Source organism: Homo sapiens, chromosome X (genome assembly GCF_000001405.40).
Source record: "Homo sapiens chromosome X, GRCh38.p14 Primary Assembly".
In the NCBI taxonomy this organism is placed as follows: domain Eukaryota; kingdom Metazoa; phylum Chordata; class Mammalia; order Primates; family Hominidae; genus Homo; species Homo sapiens.
In genome coordinates, this window is record NC_000023.11 from 8,694,241 (window position 1) to 8,715,862 (window position 21,622).

At 39.5% G+C, this 21,622-nt stretch overlaps 1 protein-coding gene across 2 annotated transcripts in view, besides 2 other annotated features; it reads right to left on the reverse strand.

The window, feature by feature from the left end:
* ANOS1 (anosmin 1) overlaps positions 1–21,622 on the reverse strand; it is a 203,264-nt gene that overhangs the window by 165,367 nt on the left and 16,275 nt on the right. For both annotated transcript variants that reach the window (NM_000216.4, NM_001440775.1), the window contains exon 2: positions 5,458–5,505. In NM_000216.4, coding sequence (NP_000207.2) covers positions 5,458–5,505 — 48 coding nt within the window. The remainder of the gene's footprint in view (positions 1–5,457; positions 5,506–21,622) is intronic.
* Positions 5,571–6,071: an enhancer, noted in NCBI's record as "H3K4me1 hESC enhancer chrX:8667852-8668352 (GRCh37/hg19 assembly coordinates)". NCBI's record gives its function as "activates a minimal SCP1, AML or CMV promoter by ChIP-STARR-seq in naive H9 embryonic stem cells {active_cell/tissue: H9 hESC(naive)}" and the evidence as "EXISTENCE:reporter gene assay evidence [ECO:0000049][PMID:30033119]".
* Positions 9,660–10,377: an enhancer, noted in NCBI's record as "NANOG hESC enhancer chrX:8671941-8672658 (GRCh37/hg19 assembly coordinates)". NCBI's record gives its function as "activates a minimal SCP1, AML or CMV promoter by ChIP-STARR-seq in naive H9 embryonic stem cells {active_cell/tissue: H9 hESC(naive)}" and the evidence as "EXISTENCE:reporter gene assay evidence [ECO:0000049][PMID:30033119]".

Genomic DNA, 21,622 nt, shown 5'->3' on the forward strand with positions numbered 1-21,622 from the left:
TTAAACTAGAAACATAAATAAAAGGGCTGAACAGCCACAACATTATAATATATGGGAAAAAATAGGATCTGATTTACATTATATTTGGCATGGAGTAATTTGTTATTTAAGAGAAAGGTTAATGAAAATAGGTTCTTAAAGTAATAGGTCGGGCATGGTGGCTCACGCCTGTAATCCCAGCACTTTGGGAGGCCAAGGTAGGCGAATCACTTGAGGCCAGGAGTTTGATGCCAGCCTGGCCAACATGGAGAAACCCTGTCTCTACTAAAAATACAAAAATTAGCCAGGCATGGTGGGGGGTACCTGTAATCCCAGTTACTCAGGAGGCTGAGGCTGGAGAATCACTTGAGCCTGGAAGGCAGAGTTGCAGTGAGCCAAGGCTGTGCCACTGCACTACAGCCTGGGCAACAAGAGCGAAATTCCATCTCAAATAAAATAAAATAAAAGTAATGTACATTGTTAAGATTGGACCAACTTAAAAATATTATTAGAATGGAAATATATCACGTTTTATCAGTATGTTTTACATTACTATAGTAATATTTCATTCCAAAAAGTATTTAGTGTGGCTTGGACTGAAAAAAAGGAAATTAAGATAAAAATTGTTTGCAAAACATATTTAGATAGAATTTTTAAAATACATTATTTTTTATGCCAAAGGTGTATATTTACTTTCTTGATTAGAAATAGGTGATCTTATTACTTACTTACTACTAAAATTGAACTACTAAAAATAAGTGATTGTAAAGGCATCTTTTTAGGATAGATTTGATATATTTTAAAAGGCTTGGCCAGGCATGGTGACTCACGCCTGTAATCCCAGCATTTTGGGAGGCTGAGGGGGGCAGATCACTTGAGGCCAGGAGTTTGAGACCAGCCTGGCCAACATGTCAAAACCCCATCTCTACTAAAAATACAAAAATTAGCTGGGCATGGTGGCAGGTGCCTGTAATCCCAGCTACTGGGGAGGCTGAGGCACAAGAACTGCTTGACCCCAGGAGGCGGAGGTTGCAGTGAGCAGAGATCATGCCACTGCACTCCAGCTTGGCACACAGAGCGAGATTCCGTCTCTAAATTAATAAATAAATGGTTTGCCCTGAATCATCCGAGACTGAAACTGTGTTTAGATGTCAGTTTTGCGAACAGTTTATTCTGGAGTGGCCAAGGGCATACCACATTCTTATGGGTTAAATGTTCTCTCAACATAAAAAATAAAGAAAAGAAAAGAAAAATCACCTTAACGGAGGAATATCTAAGGAATCTATTTCTCCGGGAATCTACTATGTATCCCTAAATGAAGCTGAATCAGAAGAGTAGGCCATCTTTAGGCTGTATCTTTCTGACTTCCCACCAGACAACAGGAACATAAAAGCAAGAAAGAGAAAATATGGCTCATTTGCTAGAATTGGGTCACAGTTTTGCCAGGAAGTTACACTATTCACAGTAGCTATAAGGGTGGAAAAAAAAAAAAAAAAAAAACCTAGTGCATCAAGACAATCAACCACTAAATTGAGCAGGAGATCTTTCATAACTTTTAAAAAGTTATTCTATAAGACTTCATATGTGTGAGGTATACAATGAGAAAATCACTGGCTTTTAATTCCACCGGAACTCAGTTCAAATCCTGTGTAGGGGATTTACTGGTACTTATTAGTAAAGTGACTTTGTAAGAAAGTCACCCACCTTTTCTGAGCATCTATGACATGAAGGTGGTCATTCCAAGATGAAGCCGAGATTAATTTCACTCACACACAATTCCATCTTCATAGAACAAAAGAAATGTGAAATAACAGTAACTTAAGCAAGATAGAAAGGTATTTCCTCTTCATGTGCAAGGCTGGTATGGGGCCCCACAGTATCAAAGAGCCAGGTTCCTTCTATCTTTCTTGTCAGTTATTCTCAGCCTGGACTCCATCCTCAAAAGTACCTCATGGCCCAAGAGAGCTGCTGGGGCCCCTGCCATTGGTATGCCCTCTAAGAAGCAGGGAAAGACAAGGGGAAGAGAACAAATGAGTGCATTTTCTAGCTAAATCAGTTCCCTTTAAAAGAGGCATTTTGAAATTTCTTCACAATGATTCCACTTGGGCAAGAAATTAGTTACTGGCCATATTTAGAAGCAATGGAGCTTGGGGAAATATAGATGTTTAACACAAGGTGACAATGTGCTCAGGTGAGGAATGAGCTTTCGATTAGCAGAGAAGAGGAGAAACCAGATTAGCAGGCAAAGAGCAATCTCTCTCACCAGTGTTACAGAGTACATGATGACAATCAGAATTCCTAGACATAATGAGCCCCTAAAAAGGTGCTTGGCACATACCTTGTACTCAGTAAACTACACATTTATTTTCTTTCATAAATAAAGTAAAACTGCTGAGGACTATGCTCTTAATTTCTTTTATAACTTCACAAATGTGTAGACCAGAGTTTGTCAATCTCAGCATTACTAATATTTGGAGCCAGATAATCCTTGCTGTGGGAGGGCTTTTCTGTGCAGTATAGGTTCTTTATTAGCATCCCTGGCCTTGACCCACTAGATGCCAGTAACTCCTCACTCCCAACTGTGACAATCAAAAATATTTCCAGCCATTGGCAATTGTTCCTGGGGGAGGAAATTGCCCTTGGTTGAGAACCACTGGCCTAGACCTGTGCTGGACAATAGGCACTCTTCTATATTCTCTAGGGTTGAGTGGTGCAGGGGCTAAAGACCCTTGAGCTCATAGTGCTGATTCCATTATGTGGAACCCAGCATACCCGAAGTCAGATGAAGCACAGAGACGAATCTCTACAGTTAAAATGTTTTCTTCCAGCCTGGCCAACATGGAGAAACTCCATCTCTACTAAAAAATACAAAAATTAGCCGGGCATGGTGGCAGGCGCCTGTAATCCCAGCTACTCGGGAGGCTGAGGCAGGAGAATTGCTTGAATCCGGGAGGCAGAGGTTGCAGTGACCCAAGATTGCACCACTGAACTCCACCCTGGGTGACAGAACAAGACTCCATCTCGAAAAACCAACAAACAACAAAAACAACATCAAAGTTGGGGACAGAGCACAGGCAGTCAAGAGACAGCCAGTGAGAATCAGAATAGGGCTTTGGATTTTAGTCTGAGTGAGACGGAAATGAATCATTAGGTTTAAGGTAGACAGCAGTGTGATGCCACTTATATGTTTGAAGGGTCTTTCCAGCAGCCATGAGGAAATGTGATTGTTTGGGGTCAGAGTGGAAGCTAGGAGACCCATCGGGTTGCTCTTGGATTCATCCCAGACAGAGAGAATGGCAGGTTGGAGGTGGGAAGAGTGGTTAGATGAGATCTATTCCACAGGGGCTCTGAAGGAGGAGCTGACAGGCTTTGCAGATGGTCACCAGAAGTGATTAAAAAGTGTGTGGTTTCTAGAAAACATTATGCAAACCTAATCTTTTAAAATACATCATCGGAAAATTGTAGCATTAACACTGCTTCTGACTTTTCTGAGTTTTCTGACTTTTCTCTCCCTATATTTGTACAAACTGGTTTCTAGAGTTGTTGGCCTGTAAGAAACACAGTGTAGAAGACAGGGATGTATATGTCTCTACTGGTTTGTTGAGTGATTACAGAACCATCATCAATATGCACATGCCTGAATTTTCCCATTTGTAAAACTGATGACTATGTGACTACGGATTACCAGTAACCTTATTAACCTACGCATTAAGAGAAAAAGCCCACCTAGTACTTCATGAATCCCAAAAGAAATGCAAATTGTAATTATCTGCACAGGTATCCAGTCATGCTAACATCCAAAGGAGTCAAACTCTGATTAATAAGCAAGATTCATTCCCAAAGATTCCCAAGGATCCCAAGTTAAAGACAACCCTTCAATTTCTGTCAGCTTTGTAATATATTCCAGAGTTTCAGTTGGGCTTAATTGTGACTTATTGATTGATTTTTGCTTTCTGACAAAAAGGATTGCTTTCTTTCCTTGTGAAATTCAAAGTCCCTCATGGCAGCCTTGATTAATCATTTGCAAAATATGGTTTAACCATCTATGATCCCTAGTGTACAAATTTCTTTCACTGCAATAATTTTAAAGTAATTCAAATAAGCCTGTTCTAATCAAATTCCTTATAAGTCTGCAAAAGATAATTTCTTGATGGAATATGGAAAAAATGAGTGCTTAAATAAGAAGTATTACCAATGTAACAAATTATCATTCCTATAATACACGATTAATACGACACTGCACAAAAAGAATACTTATGAAATTTAATCAGCCTCATAGCATTATGTGCTTTATCTGGAATGATGGCATGAAAAAGTTATCTAAAATTCCAGTTGAAGACCAATTAATATAATCAATACCAGAAAATGTCTGGACAGAACAAATGCTTAGGACATTACATAAAAAGAGTAAGTGGACCGTAACCAGGCATTTCATTCCTGCCTAGTATCTAGACAGTCAGAGATAAGCAAAGCTTATCTTCATCAAATTATTTAACATTCACGTAGGAACTCTGTTCTATTTTAAAGTAACACTCATGTGTATTCAGTGAGCATGATTGTGGAAATGCATCATTAGAACAAAGTTTTTGGTTTAGGAATATTATTCTATAATAATTTATTGTATGTATTTGAAAGACCTTTCACAAAATAATCCTTTTCATAAATATGCTATTTCAAGATTATTATATATTCCTTAGATTACTTGTTGTTTATAAAATAAGGTGTACTTCTATTTTAGGACTAAAAGTAATATCCATGAAATGAATTTTATGAAACACTATTATGATCCCAAAGTTTTGCTCCAATGTTTTTAGCAAACTTTGTAAACTTTACTCATTTACATAACCTGATTACGAAACCTACTTCAGACTGGAGCTAGAGTACCATCATATATATATTTAAAAAACAAAGATTTTGGTGTATTGGGATTGAGGTAAGAATTGTATTATATCAAACATATAAATAAGTAACATAATAAAGTTTATAGTACTTTAGTGTGCAGCAAAGAATACTCAAAAATGGAAGAGAGACTCTTTAATGAAAAAATCAAATTATTTAACCAGCAATTCCTACAAAGAAACCAAAATACATGCAAAATAACATAAGTATAAATAGAATACATTAAATCTTCTCTGGTCTAACCAGAGGGCATTTTCTTCTTAATGTTTTTTAACAGAAAATTACAAACAACAATAAAATACAGTAGTATATAGAACCATTGATACCTGCATCTTGATGGCAGTGGTAGCTACGTAAATCCAATCTTACACATGATAAATGTCACAAAATCATATACATACATTGCATGCATATCAATTTTGTGCTTTTGATATTGTTTACAATTACTTAAAGTGTAACCATTGGTGGAAACTGGGCATATATGATTTCTCTGTGCTGTCTTTGCAACTTACTGTGAATCTATAATTATTCCAAAATTAAAAGTTTTTTGCACCATTCATACAGGTATAGGAAACGTACCTTAGAACATTGCTTGTGATTCTGGCACCAAACCAGGGAACCATTGTTCTGCAAAAAGAAAAAGGAAAAATATTGATCCATTAGAAAGCTACACATACACAGATTTCTAATTTAAAATTATAATTTATGCATATAATTTTTGAATATTTGCATTTTAACAAATACCCAATCTTGCAAAACCTGCTGTCCTTCCCTTCCAATGATAGAAAATGTGTTTGTAAGTTTCATTTTGTTGTCGATTTCATGATGTAAACAAAGACATATAAAATACTAAAGATTCTAAGCTGTCTGAAATGAAAAAGGGTCTGAGGCAACTTTGATGGTGTGTTGAGCAGTGAAGCAGGTAAATGAACACTAGACGTTCCGCCAATAGTCAGCAGTTTTGAGAAATTTACAACTTAAGCATTGTGGATGCTTTTGATCTCAACCAATTTACAGAAATAAGAGTTTGGGATTGGGAGAAAGATCTTGTATTAGTCTGTTCTTACACTTCTATAAAGAACTACCTGAAACTGGGTAATTTATGAAGAAAAGAGGTTTCATTGACTCACAGTTCTGCAGGCTTAACAGGAAGTATGGCTGGGGAGGCTCAGGAAACTTACAATCATGGCGGAAGGCAAAGGGGAAGCAAGCACATCTTACCATGGCAGAGCAGGAGAGAGAGAGAGAGAGCAAAAAGGGAAGTGCCACACACTTTTAAGCCATCAGATCTTGTGAGAACTCACTCCCTGTCATGAGAACAGCCAGGAGGAAATCCACCTCTATGATCCAATTACCTCTCACCAGGCCTGTCCTTCCAATTTGACATAAGATTTGGGCAGGCACACAAATCCAAACTACATCAGATCCCACGTGAAAAGCCTTCTCTTACTCTTTCACAAAACATATGATTACAGACAAGAGACTTAACATCCCCATGCCTCAGTTTATCCATCAGTAAAGCAAGCCTAACAGCAATATCTCATGCATCAGGCCACTGGGGTAACTAAATGAAACAATAGATACACTCAATATATAACAAATATTTGGGGCCGGGCGTGGTGGCTCATGCCTGTAATCCCAGCACTTTGGGAGGCCAAGACGGGTGGATCGCCTGAGGTCAGGAGTTCGAGACCAGCCTGGCCAACATGGTGAAACCCTGTCTCTACTAAAAAATATAAAATTAGCTGGGTGTGGTGGCACACGCCTGTAATCCCAGCTACTGGGGAGGCTAAGGCAGGAGAATTGCTTGAACCTAGGAGGAGGAGGTTGCAGTGAGCTGAAATCACACCATTGCACTCCAGCCTGGGCAACAAGAGGAAAACTCCATCTCAAAAAAATAAATAAATAAATAAAATTGTACTATGATTTATTATCCTGAACATTAGAATTGCTGTATTCCACATAACTAAGATTTTGGTGATTTTTTTTTTTCTCTGGTTGGGATCTTTTAAGTCAGGTTATGCTAGGCCGGAATAGGTAGCAAAGCTAGCAGAAACCATCACCCAATAGCTAAAATGTCATGACCTCTAGTTCTCTGAAGTTCAAGGTGGAGATGAAACAAAATCTCCCATTTCCTATGTTTGAACGTCTAAACTTTTAATATGAAGGATACCAGTATTGACAGAGCAAGATGATATATGTTTGCAGTTATGAGAAAAGAAAATTGAACCAAAAAATATCTTTTAGAAAATACTTTTATAACAAGTTTATTGAGATATAATTCACAAAATTCACTCATTTAAATTGTACAACTTGAGTATATTCAGAAAGCTATGCAACCAACACCACTATTTAATTGTAGAACATTTTCACCAGCCCAAAAAGAAACCTGTACCTATTTGTAATCACTCCCATTCTGTCTTCCCCACTACTTGCCTTACCCTGGCAAACACTAAATCTGCTTCTGTCTTTATCTATTTGCCTATTCTGGACATTTTATATAAATGGAATCATACAATATGTGTCTGGCTTCTTGATGCTAAATGCTACAGCAATCTTGCTTCATGTACATTGTAGTATATATTGGTACTTCATCTTTTTGACTGTCAGTTTCAGCTACATGGATATACCACATTTTGCCCATCCACTGCCAATAACATATCTGAATATGTCCCTTCCCAGTAATAGCTTAATTATAGGATCCCCCCCAAACCACTAAATAAATCTCAGCTGTATAGGATTGGCAATCTTCTTCTTCAATGTGAAGATTATTGGCTTAAAAGATCTCGGTCCCATATGAATGCTTTAACTATGAAACCTCTCTAGCATATAGCCCTACTTTTTACTTCTTCTCAGCCTTAACTCCTAATAATTCCTACACATTCTTAGGATTTTAGCCAGCCTTAACTCCCAATAATTCCTACACATTCTTAGGATTTGAGCCAATCTCCTATGAACCTACCTACCACCTACTGAGTTCCGTACGTCCACATCTGGGCCCTCATCTCTCCCCCCACATCTATGTCCCCCATAGAGACAGTAAGGTCTGAAGCTGGAGACGCATACGAACAGCTTAGGGTGAAGTTCGTTATGATTTTTGGCAGGGATTACATCAGATAAATAATTAGATTGGGCAGAGGCCAATGCCAGACAAATGATGGGCGTGGTTGAATTACCGGAAAATGAGATGTTAGGAGAAAGCATGTAAGAGGGCATAACATACCCTTTTATAAAACTGAAATTTTATAAAGGGAGCCATTGGCTTGGTTATAAGCTAAAAGTTCAGAGGGGCCAGGCTGACTAGGGGATGGTCATAAACAGTGTGACAACTGCAAAAAGCAGGGGCCAGGCATTGAGCATGCAGAAGCTGGGGGCTGGGGCAGGGCAGCTTTGAAGAACTTCCTACATGACAGCCAGCCTCAGCATGTTGCACGGTGTGTAGATTCATACAGGATTGGCTAAAATCCTAGGTATGTGAAGGAATTATTGGGAGTTAAGGCTGAGAAGAAGTAAATATTAGGGCTATATGCTAGAGGGGTTTCATAGTTAAAGCTTCCCCTGCTTCCCCTGTGCAGAGTTGGCTCCTGCCAGGACTTCCAAGGACGACACCTGTCTGAGCACATCCTGGATTCAACTTGAGTGTTCCAAGCTCCTCCCCAACCAGTGATGGGAAGCAATGAGGCACCTTCTAAAGAGACTCAGGGCTGAAGTGGACAGCCTCAGACCTTGGAGACTAGGTCAAAGCCAGTTCCTGAAGGTCTTTTTCAGCACCATCTTGGTTGGAAGGTTTTGAGTCTTCTTGAGTCAGGTCAGTGGGGTTCTGCTCCTTGGACTAGAATCCTTGACATGGGCACAGGTGAGACCTCCTTCCCTTCTGGATGTTTCTTTTCCTAGGCAGATGGGCAGGACCTTATCTCTGGATGAGATCAGGGGACCCTCAGCTATTTCTGCACTTGCTGGATTCCTCTTTGGAGTTTTATCACACCCTCTCCTGCTGAATGATATGCTTTATTTTGTCTGTGTCTTGGTTGCTCAACTAGATTTTTCCCTGGGGACAGGATTCCATGTTTCCTCTTTACCTGTCTGTAAGACATTAGCAAGGGAGGGCAGCTCTTGGTCCTCACAGAGAAGGCACATTTCTGAGGCCATGCAAGAGTGACTGGGGTTCCAAAAGTGGGCATGGCAACTGTTGCCTGGGGTTCCAAAAGTAGGCACAGAAACTGTTGTCAACAGGTTGACAAAAATATCACTAACGCGGCAATACACCTTTGACTATTATTATTATTATAGTGGCCAAATCTATGTGGCAGAAATGTGCCTTGATGTTTTAATACTCACCCCATGTAATCATCCCACAAAATGACATAAGCTTCATTTATTCATTTTACAGTTAAGAAACCTGTAGTCAGGGAAACCAAGTAAAATATGCAGAGTGACAAAGCCAGTGATTAACCTCAATGGTAAACAACACAACAGGAAAAGCCACAGGTGAAGAAAGGAACAAGATGCACACTCGATTTTGAAGGAATTTCCAGATTTATAACCTTAAAAGGAGAGATGAAGATTGGTCCAACAGTCCTAAATACCATATGTTGAGGTAGCAGCAGTTCAGATGGATGGGGTGGAGCAGAGAATAGGAGGGGAGATCAGGTAAATAGAAAGTAGATTGCAGGATTTTCATTACACAAGATTTTATCTCTGGAAATAATATTTTTAATTTAGCAAATATCAGAGAGTTAATTAAAACAAAAATAAAGGATTAGAGTCCTGAGAAGCCCTGTGCAGGACACACCTTGATATGGTTTGGTTGTGTTCCCACCCAAATCTCATCTTGAATTGTAGCTCCCACAATTCCCATGTGATGTGAGAGGGACCCTAGGAGAGGTAATTGAATCATGGGGGCGGGTTTTTCCCATGTTATTCTCGTGATAGTAAGTCTCACAAGATCTGATGGGTTTATAAAGGGCAGTTCCCCCGCACATGCTCTCTTGCCTGCCACCATTTAAGACATGGCTTTGCTCCTCCTTTGTCTTCCACCATGATTGTGAGGCCTCCCCAGCCATGTGGAACTGTGAGTCCATTAAATCTCTTTTTCTTTGTAAATTACCCAGTCTCAGGTATGTCGTTATTAGCAGCATGAGAACAGACTAATACACACCTTGATTAGCTTTCTTTTGTTCCCTTCTACTGTGTATGTTGAATGGCCAAACTTCAACAACAAAAGCACAAAGGATGCAGCAGAGATTGTCTTCAGCTGCCCAACCTCCCCTTCCCAAGTGTAAACCCTCCTGCCCTGCCCCACACCAACTCTCCTTCTTTCCTGCAATTCAATGCTCCCCATACCATTGGCTTATACACACCCATCAAAATGAGAAGAAAGCCAATAGCCACAGAGCCTATTTTGAATTGGGAATTAATATCAATACATTGCGTTGAGCAAGGCATTTTCATTTCAAGCAAAATTTTCTACTAATCACAAAATGAAAAACTCTGTCATTACAAAGAAATATTTGGGGCAATGGCAAGCATGCATAAACAATTATTATGATTAGAATGATTTTTTAAAATTAGTGAGGACAGCATGTCATAGGCTGCTTGGGATGATTAAAAAGATAATCCTTGTAAAGTATTTATCAAAATGTTTGGCTCAGGATTTTTAAAAAATCCTTTGTTATTATTGATGTGATTTTGTTGTCATTTGCCATTATATTGTCTTTAGCAGTTTGGGAGTAATCCTAGACTTAATATCTCCCAGCTCACAACGGATAATACTCACCCTAGACTAACTGATTCAGTCTTATTATAGTGAGACTCAAAAGTATTTAGTATTGAAAATACTAAGATACAGTATTTTAGCAATACTAAAATACAAATAAAACTTGCAGTAAAAGGATGCCTTTCCATTCTGTTTTTTCCTTGGGTGGAAGCAATTTTTCAACATTTGCCAACAGGATGAGTGGGCAATGGTATTGGTATTTTTACTTTAATTTCCTGACTGGCCATTTATTTTCCTTTACCGTGGATAGTCTGTCTCTTTTACCTTATCTAATTGCGGATTGTTCACCATTTTTAAAATCAATTTTAGCAACTATTAGTATCACTTAGGTTCAATGATCATTTGTCTATTGCAAAAATTCTCAAGCCCCTCATTCATCTTTTGCATTTATTTGTGAGGTTTTTCCACAAGGAAATTTTATATGCATGCACACACACAGATGCACGCATCCATGCATTCACATATATATTTGCCCTCAAAATGCATCCATAGTTCCTTTTTGGATTCTGGGTTTCCTGTTTTTCTTAAAATAATTGCCCCCATGCCAAGGTTTTGCAGCCGTTCTGTGCTTTTACCTGTATCAGTCATCATGTGCTGTGCTATTTATCTCTACTAAGAACTTCTAAGAACCCTGCCCACTAGCATCAGGGATGCCAATAAACCCCCGATTAATGCTGGCCACTTTGTTTAGGCCAGATGCTACCCCATCACGATCCACCTATGTTGCTTACATATAGTACTCTTTGAGCAGAAGAGCAATAAAAAAATACAAGAATCCAGTATATTTCAATACCCTGCCCCAGCAGAAGTCCTTCGTCAGATTACAATAGCCTTCACCAGTTAAGCCATTTGACAACAAAGATAAAATAACAGTATTTGCAATAAAGTCTTGTTCTGGCTTAAAGCCAACAAAGATAAAGAGTCAAAGTACATTAGGCTAGAAACACATTTGCCTCTAGAACCATCATTGTAACCTCCAGGTAGGATTAGACAGTGGGACTTTTGTAATTATATAAAGATTACATCCTGTATTTTATTGGTTTAACTAGATCAAACATGAATGCTAGTCAATCTGGCTTTCAAAGAGTTTATATAAGTTCAATCAACTGCACCCAGCCGTTATTTCAATGACATTTTCCAAGTCTTTTCATTTCTAGCCTTTTGATTTTTCCTTAAAGAAAGATAACTCTTCAAAAGCTTCAAGTAAAGAAAACACATCATTCATGCAAAGACAACACACACGGGAAGAATAAAGATAAATGGAAACTAGTTCTCTAGATCCCACCATATGAAAAGAGAAAACAGGAACAGATCTCACTCATTTCCTTCAACATAGCCAGGTGTCGGCATGGAACAGCTAAGGAACTAGTCAGTCTACAATTTCCAAAATACATACCAAACTAGTGTCTAACAATGGAACTGAACATTTGAAATAGAAATCAGTCAGGAAACCCACCATAGACCTTAACTTTACCAATCAATGCTTTGACACTGCAAATAATTAGCTGTGACCCTGAATGGACAATTTTGTGTCCTGCTTGGTGTAAGTTATTTTAAAGCAATAGATGAAACTATAGATACAAGTCATTATATATTTGTCCAAACCCATAGACCATACAACACCAAAAGTGAAGCGTATGTAAACTATGGACCCTGATGATGATGATGTGCCAACGTAGGTTCATCCCTTGTCACAAATGTCCCACTCTGGTGGGGGATGTTGGTAATGGGAGAGGCTGTGCATGGTGGGGGCAGAGAGCATGTGGATATTCTCTGTACCTTCTGCTCAATTGCTGTGAACCTAAAACTGCTCTACAAAATAAAAAGTCTATTGAAAAGGTTCAGGAGGAGGGCTTTCTTTATATATTTGTTGTTCATAAGTAAGATTTCTTTCAAATGTTATGGAATATCCTCAGCAGTCTTTTCATTAACCAAGAAAAAAGTCTCTCTGTATTCTACAAATATTTCACATTTAATGGAATTCTACAGGAAACAAATATTTGACCATATAGAAAGAAATACACCTGCCTCCAGACACCCAGCCTTCCCATACTGTCCTTTCTTCAAAGAAAATGCGACTTCAACCAGGAAGCCTTCCCTGACCCCCACGCCCTGACTTCCACAGCTCTCTCTCTCTGTTGCTTGCTCTATAACGTTCTGCACTTCTCCCCCCAGGCACTCTATCACACAGTGGACAAGTGCAAATTATGTGTGTTGTTTTAATTTAATGATCATATGCCCCCCAGCCTGGAAAAGCTTTGGCGGTAGTGTCTATCCCTAGCACATGTTTGCCATTGGCTCTCTGGCACATAGCAGCGTGCCTGACACAGAGTAAATGGTCTTCACAAATGGTACTGATTGAAGAAATAAATGAATGGAGTAGGAGGTCATACAAAGGAATTTAAGCTTTAGTTATTAGGTCCTGAGGAGCTAGAAAGAATGATATAAATAGACTGAGCTGATGAAATGTTTCATCTTCTCTGGATGGAGCTTTTAAGAAGTAGGCTCATTATTTTGTTTCCTATGATGTAAATGTCCAAGAGATTTGGCATGATGACACCGAAAACTGAACAAAGACTTGCATTTGGGATCAAATATACGTTATTTAATAAATAAAAATACTAATTATCTTTTTATAGGGTGTAGATACAGTACCTAAAGAAAATATATAGAACAGCAAATGCCAGACTTTTCTTCTTCTCATCATTCCCTAAACAATACAGTGTAACAGCTATTTACATAGCACTTACACAGTATTAGGTATTATAAGTAATGTACAGATGATTTTAAATATATAGGAGGATATTTGCAGGTTATATACAAATACCACACCATTTTACTTCAATAACTTGAGCATCTTCAGATGTAGGTGTCTGCCGGGGTGGGGAGGGGAGGCAGATCCTGAAACCCTTAGGGTGCATTATAACTTTGATATACTTTTCCTGAAACTAATAGAATTGTGTTCTTCAAGTATATTCATCCAAGAAGAACATACTGTTGTTTCAATGTAACCAGCAGTTATTTTCCACCTGTACTTTTAAAACCAACTGGCCAGGCATGGTGGCACACGCCTGTAATCCCAGCACTTTGGGAGGCTGAGGCGGGTGGACCACGAGGTCAGTATTTCAAGACCAGCCTGGCCAACATGGTGAGACCCCATCTCTACTAAAAATACAAAAATAATCTGGGCATGCCAGCACATGCCTGTAATCCCAGCTACTCGGGAGGCTGTGGCAGGAGAATTGCTTGAATCCAGGAGGCGGAGGTTGCAGTGAGCTGAGATCACACCACTGCATTGCAGCCTGGGTGGCAGAGCGAGACTATGCCTCAAAACAAAAACAAAAACAAAAAACTTTAGGGGGAAGCTGAGTGCCAGACAGTTTAAAGGAACAATAGAAATGCCTAAGAAACTATCATCAGAGTGAACAGGCAACCTACAGAATGGGAGAAAAATTTTGCAATCTATCCATCTGACAAAGGGTTAGTATCCAGAATCTACAAGGAACTTAAACAAATTTACTAGAAAAAAATCAAACAACCCCATCAAAAAGTGGGTGAAGGATATGAACAGCACTTCTCAAAAGAAGACATTTATGTGGCCAACAAACATATGAAAAAAGCTCATCATCACTGGTCATTAGAGAAATGCAAATCAAAACCACAGTGAGATACCATCTCACACCAGTTAGAATGGTGATCATTAAAAAGTCAGGAAACAATAGATGCTGGAGAGGATGTGGAGAAATAGGAATCCTTTTACACTGTTGGTGGGAGTGTAAATTAGTTCAACCATTGTGGAAGACAGTGTGGCAATTCCTCAAGGATCTAGAACCAGAAATACCATTTGACCCAGCAATCCCATTACTGGGTATATACCCAAAGGAATATAAATCATTCTACTATAAAGACACATTCACACATATGTTTATTGTGGCACTATTCACAATAGCAAAGACTTGGAACCAACCCAAATGCCCATCAGTGATAGACTGGATAAAGAAAATGTGGCACATATACACCATGGAATACTATGCAGCCATAAAAAAGGATGAGTTCATGTCCTCTGCAGGGACATGGATGAAGCTGGAAACAATCATTCTCAGCAAACTAACACAGGAACAGAAAACCAAACACCGCAAGTTCTCACTCATAAGTGGGAGTTGAACAATGAGAACACATGGACATAGGGAAGGGAACATTACACACCAGAGCCTGTCAGGGGGTGGGGGGTGAGGGGAGGGATAGCATTAGGAGAAATACCTAATATAGATAGATGATGGGTTGATGGGTGCAGCAAACTGCCATGGCATGTGTAAACCTATGTAACAAACCTGAAAGTTCTGCACAGGTATCCCAGAACTTAAAGTGTAATTAAAAAAAAAAAAAGAAAGAAAAAGCAGTACATATACACAGTGGAGTATTATTCAACCATAAAAAAAGAAATGTCTTTAAGAAAACAAATGTCAATTTCATTTCAAAGTTCTTGTGAATAATGAAAATCATCAAAGGAGAAAATTATGCAAGACCAACACAGAGAGAAAACAATATTAAATAACTTTACATGACTTTGAATTACATTGTTTTCTTTTCTTTTCTTTCTTGAGACAGGGTCTCACTCTGTCACCCAGGCTGGAGTGCAGTGGTGAGATCACAGCTCACTGCAACCTTCGCCTCCAGGGACATTCTTCACCATGGTTATCTGCAAAGAGTATGACATGATGCGAATATTTATCTGGCTATAGTGTACTTTAGGTGATACGTAATAACTAGAAGTGTTTTGAAGCCTTCTTAGGTCTTGTATTTCCTTAACTGTTGTAGGTGTTGTGTTCTTAATATAGGATGTTTTATAAATAAATATAACTAAAAATTCATCAAGAAAAATTTTAGCAGAAACTAAAGTTGCATAGACTAAAACTATGACTTGCGACATTTCTTAGCTACATCAGGATTCAACCTTGTCCACCCTGGGAAAGGTAGTGTGCAATAGCTGCTCTTATGCACAAATGATTGAAAACCATTATTTGTGTTATCTTATAATTTTTTTTTATTTTTTTGAGATGGAGTCTCGCTCTGTTGCCCAGGCTGGAGTGCAGCAGTGCAATCTCCACTCACTGCAAGCTCCGTCTCCTGGGTTCACGCCATTCTCCTTCCTCAGCTTCCCAAGTAGCTGGGACTGCAGGTGCCCGCCACCACGCCTGGCTAATTTTTTGTATTTTTAGTAGAGACGGGGTTTCACCGTGCTAGCCAGGATGGTCTCGATCTCCTGACCTCGTGATCCACCTGCCTCGGCCTCCCAAAGTGCTGGGATTACAAGCGTGAGCCACCACGCCCGGCCGTGTTATCTTATAAATTTATGAGGGCTTTTGAAATTCCGATTTTATAGTTAACCACATGAGCCACATAGGAGTCCAGAGCTCTCTGAGAACTTCTACCTCACCAGCAGTCCTTCTGTGCAAAGTATTTTCATCAATGGGCATTCCGGTCTCTGTCAAAGTGTAAGATCTATTTGAATCTGACCAAGCCTGTTCTCTAAACACAACCAGGATAAGAAAAAGGACCCAACAAGTGATTCCAAATACCCACTCAAAATGTTTGTAAATGGTAGCATTCTGACTCAGATGATACCATATCATTACAACTCAGAGAAGATCTTTGAGGGCCATTCAATCCATCTTCTTGGTGAAAACAAGACAAATGTAACTCGTTAATGACATGTCATTGTCTCATAATACAGGGAACTTTCCAAGGAAAAGAGGTTACAGTGTCCCTGTAACATGTTACTCCGCTATGCTGACTTTTCCATCCTGAATTCCTAGCGAAATCTCTCAAAGCCATTCAAGGGAAAAGGGGTGAGGAGTTGCAAGTGATCAACTTTCAGATTTTCTGCCTGCTAATATTTTATTCTCTGATTAACTAATTCATCTAGTAACTCTCTCCAAAACATTTACCATGCCAAAGGAAAACATCAAAACCAGAAGAGAAAAACACAATGCAGGGACCATCCTGCCTGAGTGTGAAGAAGGAAGATCACACACATATTACTGAATTCCATAATACTCAAGGGCAGGACCAAGACGATGACACAAACCACATCATGGAAATGAGCATATAGTGGGGAACTTAGAATTTCCACTAATGTCTGAGGAGAAAGGAAAAGCAAAGAATGGGGTTGGAGGAGAAATCTAAGTGTCCAATAAACCTCAAAATTACCATGCTGAAGAGGAATCTAAGTGTCCAATGATAGCTCTAAACCTCAAAATTACCATGCCTAAGACTGTCCCAAATCATCAGGTTAGTCATTGTCACACATCAGAATAACATGTGAAAGCCACTGGCAACAGTGGCAACACAAGAGTCAGAGGAAAATTCTACATCCTGAGAATGGCAAGTTAATAGCAATTCAAGTTCAACAGTCTCCCTTTGTAGATGAGTCAATTGGGGCTCAGGAAGGCTAAAAAATGTATGAACTATTACTGATTCAAACACAAAGAATATTTTAATAGTAAGCACACCTTACTTAAAGTCAAAGGCTTTATTTCACATGCCAGGCTACTACTCATCCACCATGGGTGGTAAGCTCTCAGAAAAATTAATGTCTTCTTTTCTCAAATGAGATGAATAATGTCTTTACAAGATAATCACAGAGATGTCTATGAAAACCACCTGTGACCATCCAAGGTCAAGGCTGTAGTCTAGCTGGCAAGATGCCAAGTTCAGTGATATGACCACTTTGCACACAAGGAGTGACTTTCAATAACGTAGAAGGTCTCAGAGAGCTCTGGGGCCCCACCTGGAGGTTGATTAATCCCAATTAATCATGCGATTAGCCATGGAGAAGTCAGAATTCTAAAATCCCTCAGTAAGTTTTGATACAACAGTAAAGAAAATGGTTTCCAGTGCCTTATAAATAAGAGCAGCCTAATTAATTTCTACATTGTATGGTTGTTTCAAGTCTTTGCAAAGGCATAATATCCATGTAAAGAATAGAATCTATACAGTTGTTTAATGCAAGGTCACACTAAATTAGATTCACATATCAAAACCCCACTTGGGAGAACATGAAAATGCAATACTGTCAAGTGCTATTCTTAGTATAATTTCAAATTCACATTGAAATATATGACTTTGTTTCCTACGGCTGCCATGACAAAGTACCACAACCCAGGGGGCTGAAAGAGCAGAAATTTATTGTCTCTCGGTTCTGGAGGCTGGAAGTGTGAGACCAAGTTATCGCAAGACCATGCTCTCTCAGAAAGGCCATAGGGGAAGATTGGCTCCATGACTTTCTTTGAGCTTCTGGTAGTTCCTTGGCTTGTGGCAGCATTCCAACCTTCACATCCGTGTCCTCACATCTCTGCATGTCTGTGTTAAAATTTCTCCTTTCAGTAAGGACACCAGTCATATTGGATTAGGGGCCTACCCTCCTCCAGAATGACTCATCTCAATTAATCACATCTCTAACGACGTTATTTCCAAATAAGGCCACTTTGTCACTTTCTGAGGAACTGGGGGTTAGGACATCAACATATGGAGTTAGAGGTGCATTATTCAATCCGGAAGCGACTAAAATAAATTAAAGCCATGGGACAAATACTACATTGTTTCAGCCACACTTCAACCTGCACCTCAGTTAATAATCTATGTGTTAATATGTTCACGTATTATTTTTTCAATTTGCTTCAACTCACTATCAATGTTTATTTCTTCACTTTGGCCTCCTTGCCATCTCCCAGCAAATGTCAGAACATGGTGTTTTGTAACAACCCATCTGTCCATCTCACTGACAATGGTTTTTCCTTTCATAAAGTACTTCAATCTGACAGCAAGTGGGTGTATCATAAGAAGGCATTTGTAATCCATAATGTAAACTGTTTAGAATCAAGTAGTCCAGTTTTGGTGAAAATTGATTGCTTGAATAAACATGGAAGAACCACACCGTCATAATGAGGTGATTTGGCCAAGCACACAATTCTCCCCAGGTGTAACCAATCTACTTTTAAAATGTTGCACCCTCTGGTGAGACCTTCAGCTTTATGTTCCTGATCTTTGTTCCATACCTGGACCTTGATTACTAATGACCCATTCTCTCCCAGGAGACCCACTCTCTCTCCCTGAACACATATGTTCAGAGGAATTGACAATGGCCTCTTCATCTGTCAACAAGGTGGAATCAAAACTCATGTTTCAAAAGACATGGCAGCCAGACAGTGACTCCAGCCCTCTCATTTGACAAATGAGTCTACTGATTCTAAGTGAGCCTATAATGATGTTTCTGCTGAGGACACCACCACTGACTTCTACTTAGTAAGCTCACACTTAATCAATTGTACATAACCTGAATCAAAAAGGGCTGCCCAGAAGAATGTCCAAGCTGGGGGATGGAGAATGGACAGTTCCAAAGCTAGAACTTGGCACCTCTTATCAAGCAAAGAAAGGTACCAGAGAGAAGCCCGACAGCATGACTGACTGAAGCAGTGACTTTCAAAGTGTGGTACTGGAACCAGTGATATCAGCCTCACCTGGAAGCTTTTGCAAATTCTGGTGATATACCTTACACTCGTAGAATCAAAACTCCTGGGGCTGGAGAGCAGTCAGCTGTTTTACAAGTTGTCCAAATATGGCTGATCCCCACGAAAGCCTGAGATGCTTACTCTTCCTTTGCTTTATGTGACTTCACGAAATACACTCCAAATGTCTCCTTTCTTTCTTTTTTTTTTCTTTCTTTCTTTTTTTTTTGAGATGGAGTCTCACTCTGTCACCCAGGCTGGAGTGCAACGACGCGATCTCAGCTCACTGCAACCTCCGCCTCCCGGGTTCAAGTGATTCTCCTGCCTCAGCCTCCCAAGGAGCTGGGATTACAGGCGCCCACCACCACGCCTGGCTAATTTTTGTATTTTTAGTAGAGACGGGGTTTCACCAGATTGGCCAGGCTGGTCTTGAACTCCTGACCTCAGGTGATCCACCTGCCTCGGCCTCCCAAAGTGCTGGGATTACAGGCATGAGCCACCGTGTCCGGCCCAAATGTCTCTCTTCTCTCCCTTCCAAGTGTCCCAAATAAATGACTGAGACCCTTATTCAGCTCTTACAGGTATCTTATTGGATTCTTGTCATTGAGAAAGAACAACCCTCTTTGTAAAGCAGTAAGTTGATCTTTGCATGTGCTGGTTTCTTTTTCTCCAAGACCAAGACTCAAGGTAACAACATTCAGGGCGGTCTAGACCTCTCTGGCCTCTGCTGTCTTGGCCTCATCTCAGTCTCTGGCCATTTTCATACAGAACAACTGTAGAAACATGTAATTTCTTGCTGGGGATGACTGTGTGGCAAAAGCACAAAGCAGACTTTAAAGGCACTCTCAAATCACCCTATTATTTTTCAAAATAGATGCTTGGCAGCTGCAAAGCTTGACAGGTGCAATATGTTATACATAACAAGTCATTCCCACAAGGCACATTACTGCCTGGAATCTGGCATGTTGACCAGCAGAGGTTAAGGATTAATGTTAAGTTATCAAGCTAATTACTCACATGCATTAAGAGTAGGTGGAGAGGATATGCTTCCGGATAACATGAGCTGGGAACTATTGCTATTATCACTATAACCATTAAAAAAAAATCTAATTGAAAAAACGTACCGTGCCCCAGAGATAAAAACTATTATTTCCATGTGCTTCCCTACTGAATATTTTAGCAACACATTTTGGAATATGCCTGGTAAGTCCTAGAAGTTGTTGTTTTAATGGTAAAGCAAAACCCCCATCTTGCTATACACATGTAAACTAGGAGATGCAGGACTTAGTAGTTGAGCTTCATTTGTAGTAGGGAACACCCAAGAAGGGGAAAAAAAATGACTAAAAATACATGTTTTCCCCTTCTAATTGACTTTACTAAGTGTCAGATTTTTGTCACATTGTTTTCTTGTGATATATGCTTTTTCATTATGCTAATTTATGTTATTCATTAAAGAGTGCAGAATAATTCATCAAACTAAAATAGAGTACCTCATAGTCTATTATGCCCTGACTTATATTCTAACCCATTCATCATGATTCTGGGTTATTTTAATATAAACTTCAAAAGACAGTGTGTTTTAATGAGGGATCACTTGAGAAAACATGATTAATTAAATGTGATGCAAGCGCAAAGAGCAATAACCCCAAGAAAAAACTGCTTTGCAAAAAAATAAAACTCATTCCAAGAAAAATGTGTTCATTGCAGAATTAGAAGGATGTCTGAAAAGTCAGGTATGTTTTCCCAGTAGAATAGATGACTTGGAATTAAATGACTTTTTTTCCTTACACAATATTTATCCAGGATTTCAAATTTCAATTTAAAAATCTACTTAATCTTATCCTATGCATCATACGGAAAGGTGAAATATTTCTCTTTTTTCAGAGACAGGGTCTCTCTGTCACCTAGGCTGGAGTGCAGTGGCTCAATCATAGCTCACTGTAGCCTCAACATCCTGGGCTCAAGCAATCCTTCTGCCTCAGACTCCCAAGTAGCAAGGACAAGAGGTATGCACCACCAAGCCTGGCTAATTTTTTCTTTTTCTTTTTTTTTTTTTTGGTAGAGATGGGGTCTCACTCTGATGCCCAGGCTGGTCTCAAATTCCCGAACTCAAGTGATCCTCCCATCTCAGCCTCCCAAAGCACTGGGATGACAGGCCCACCATGGCCACCCAGAATGGGAAATCTTTAAGTAACAAAAGCACACACGAGAGATCTGCATGTCATGCTCTACTGATTGAACTAGATACTTCAAAACAAACTGGAAAGAGTCTCTTAAATTAAAAAATTAAGTTTTTAAATCTCTTTTGGAAGTGGAGGGGTCTCTCAGACCAGACTGTAGAGCACTGGGGATCCAGGGTTACATACTATTCATTTTATTTTAGCGATAGGGTCTCACCGTGTTGCCCAGGCTAGACTAGAACTCCTAGGCTGTGATCGTCCCTCCTCAGTCTCTCAAGCGG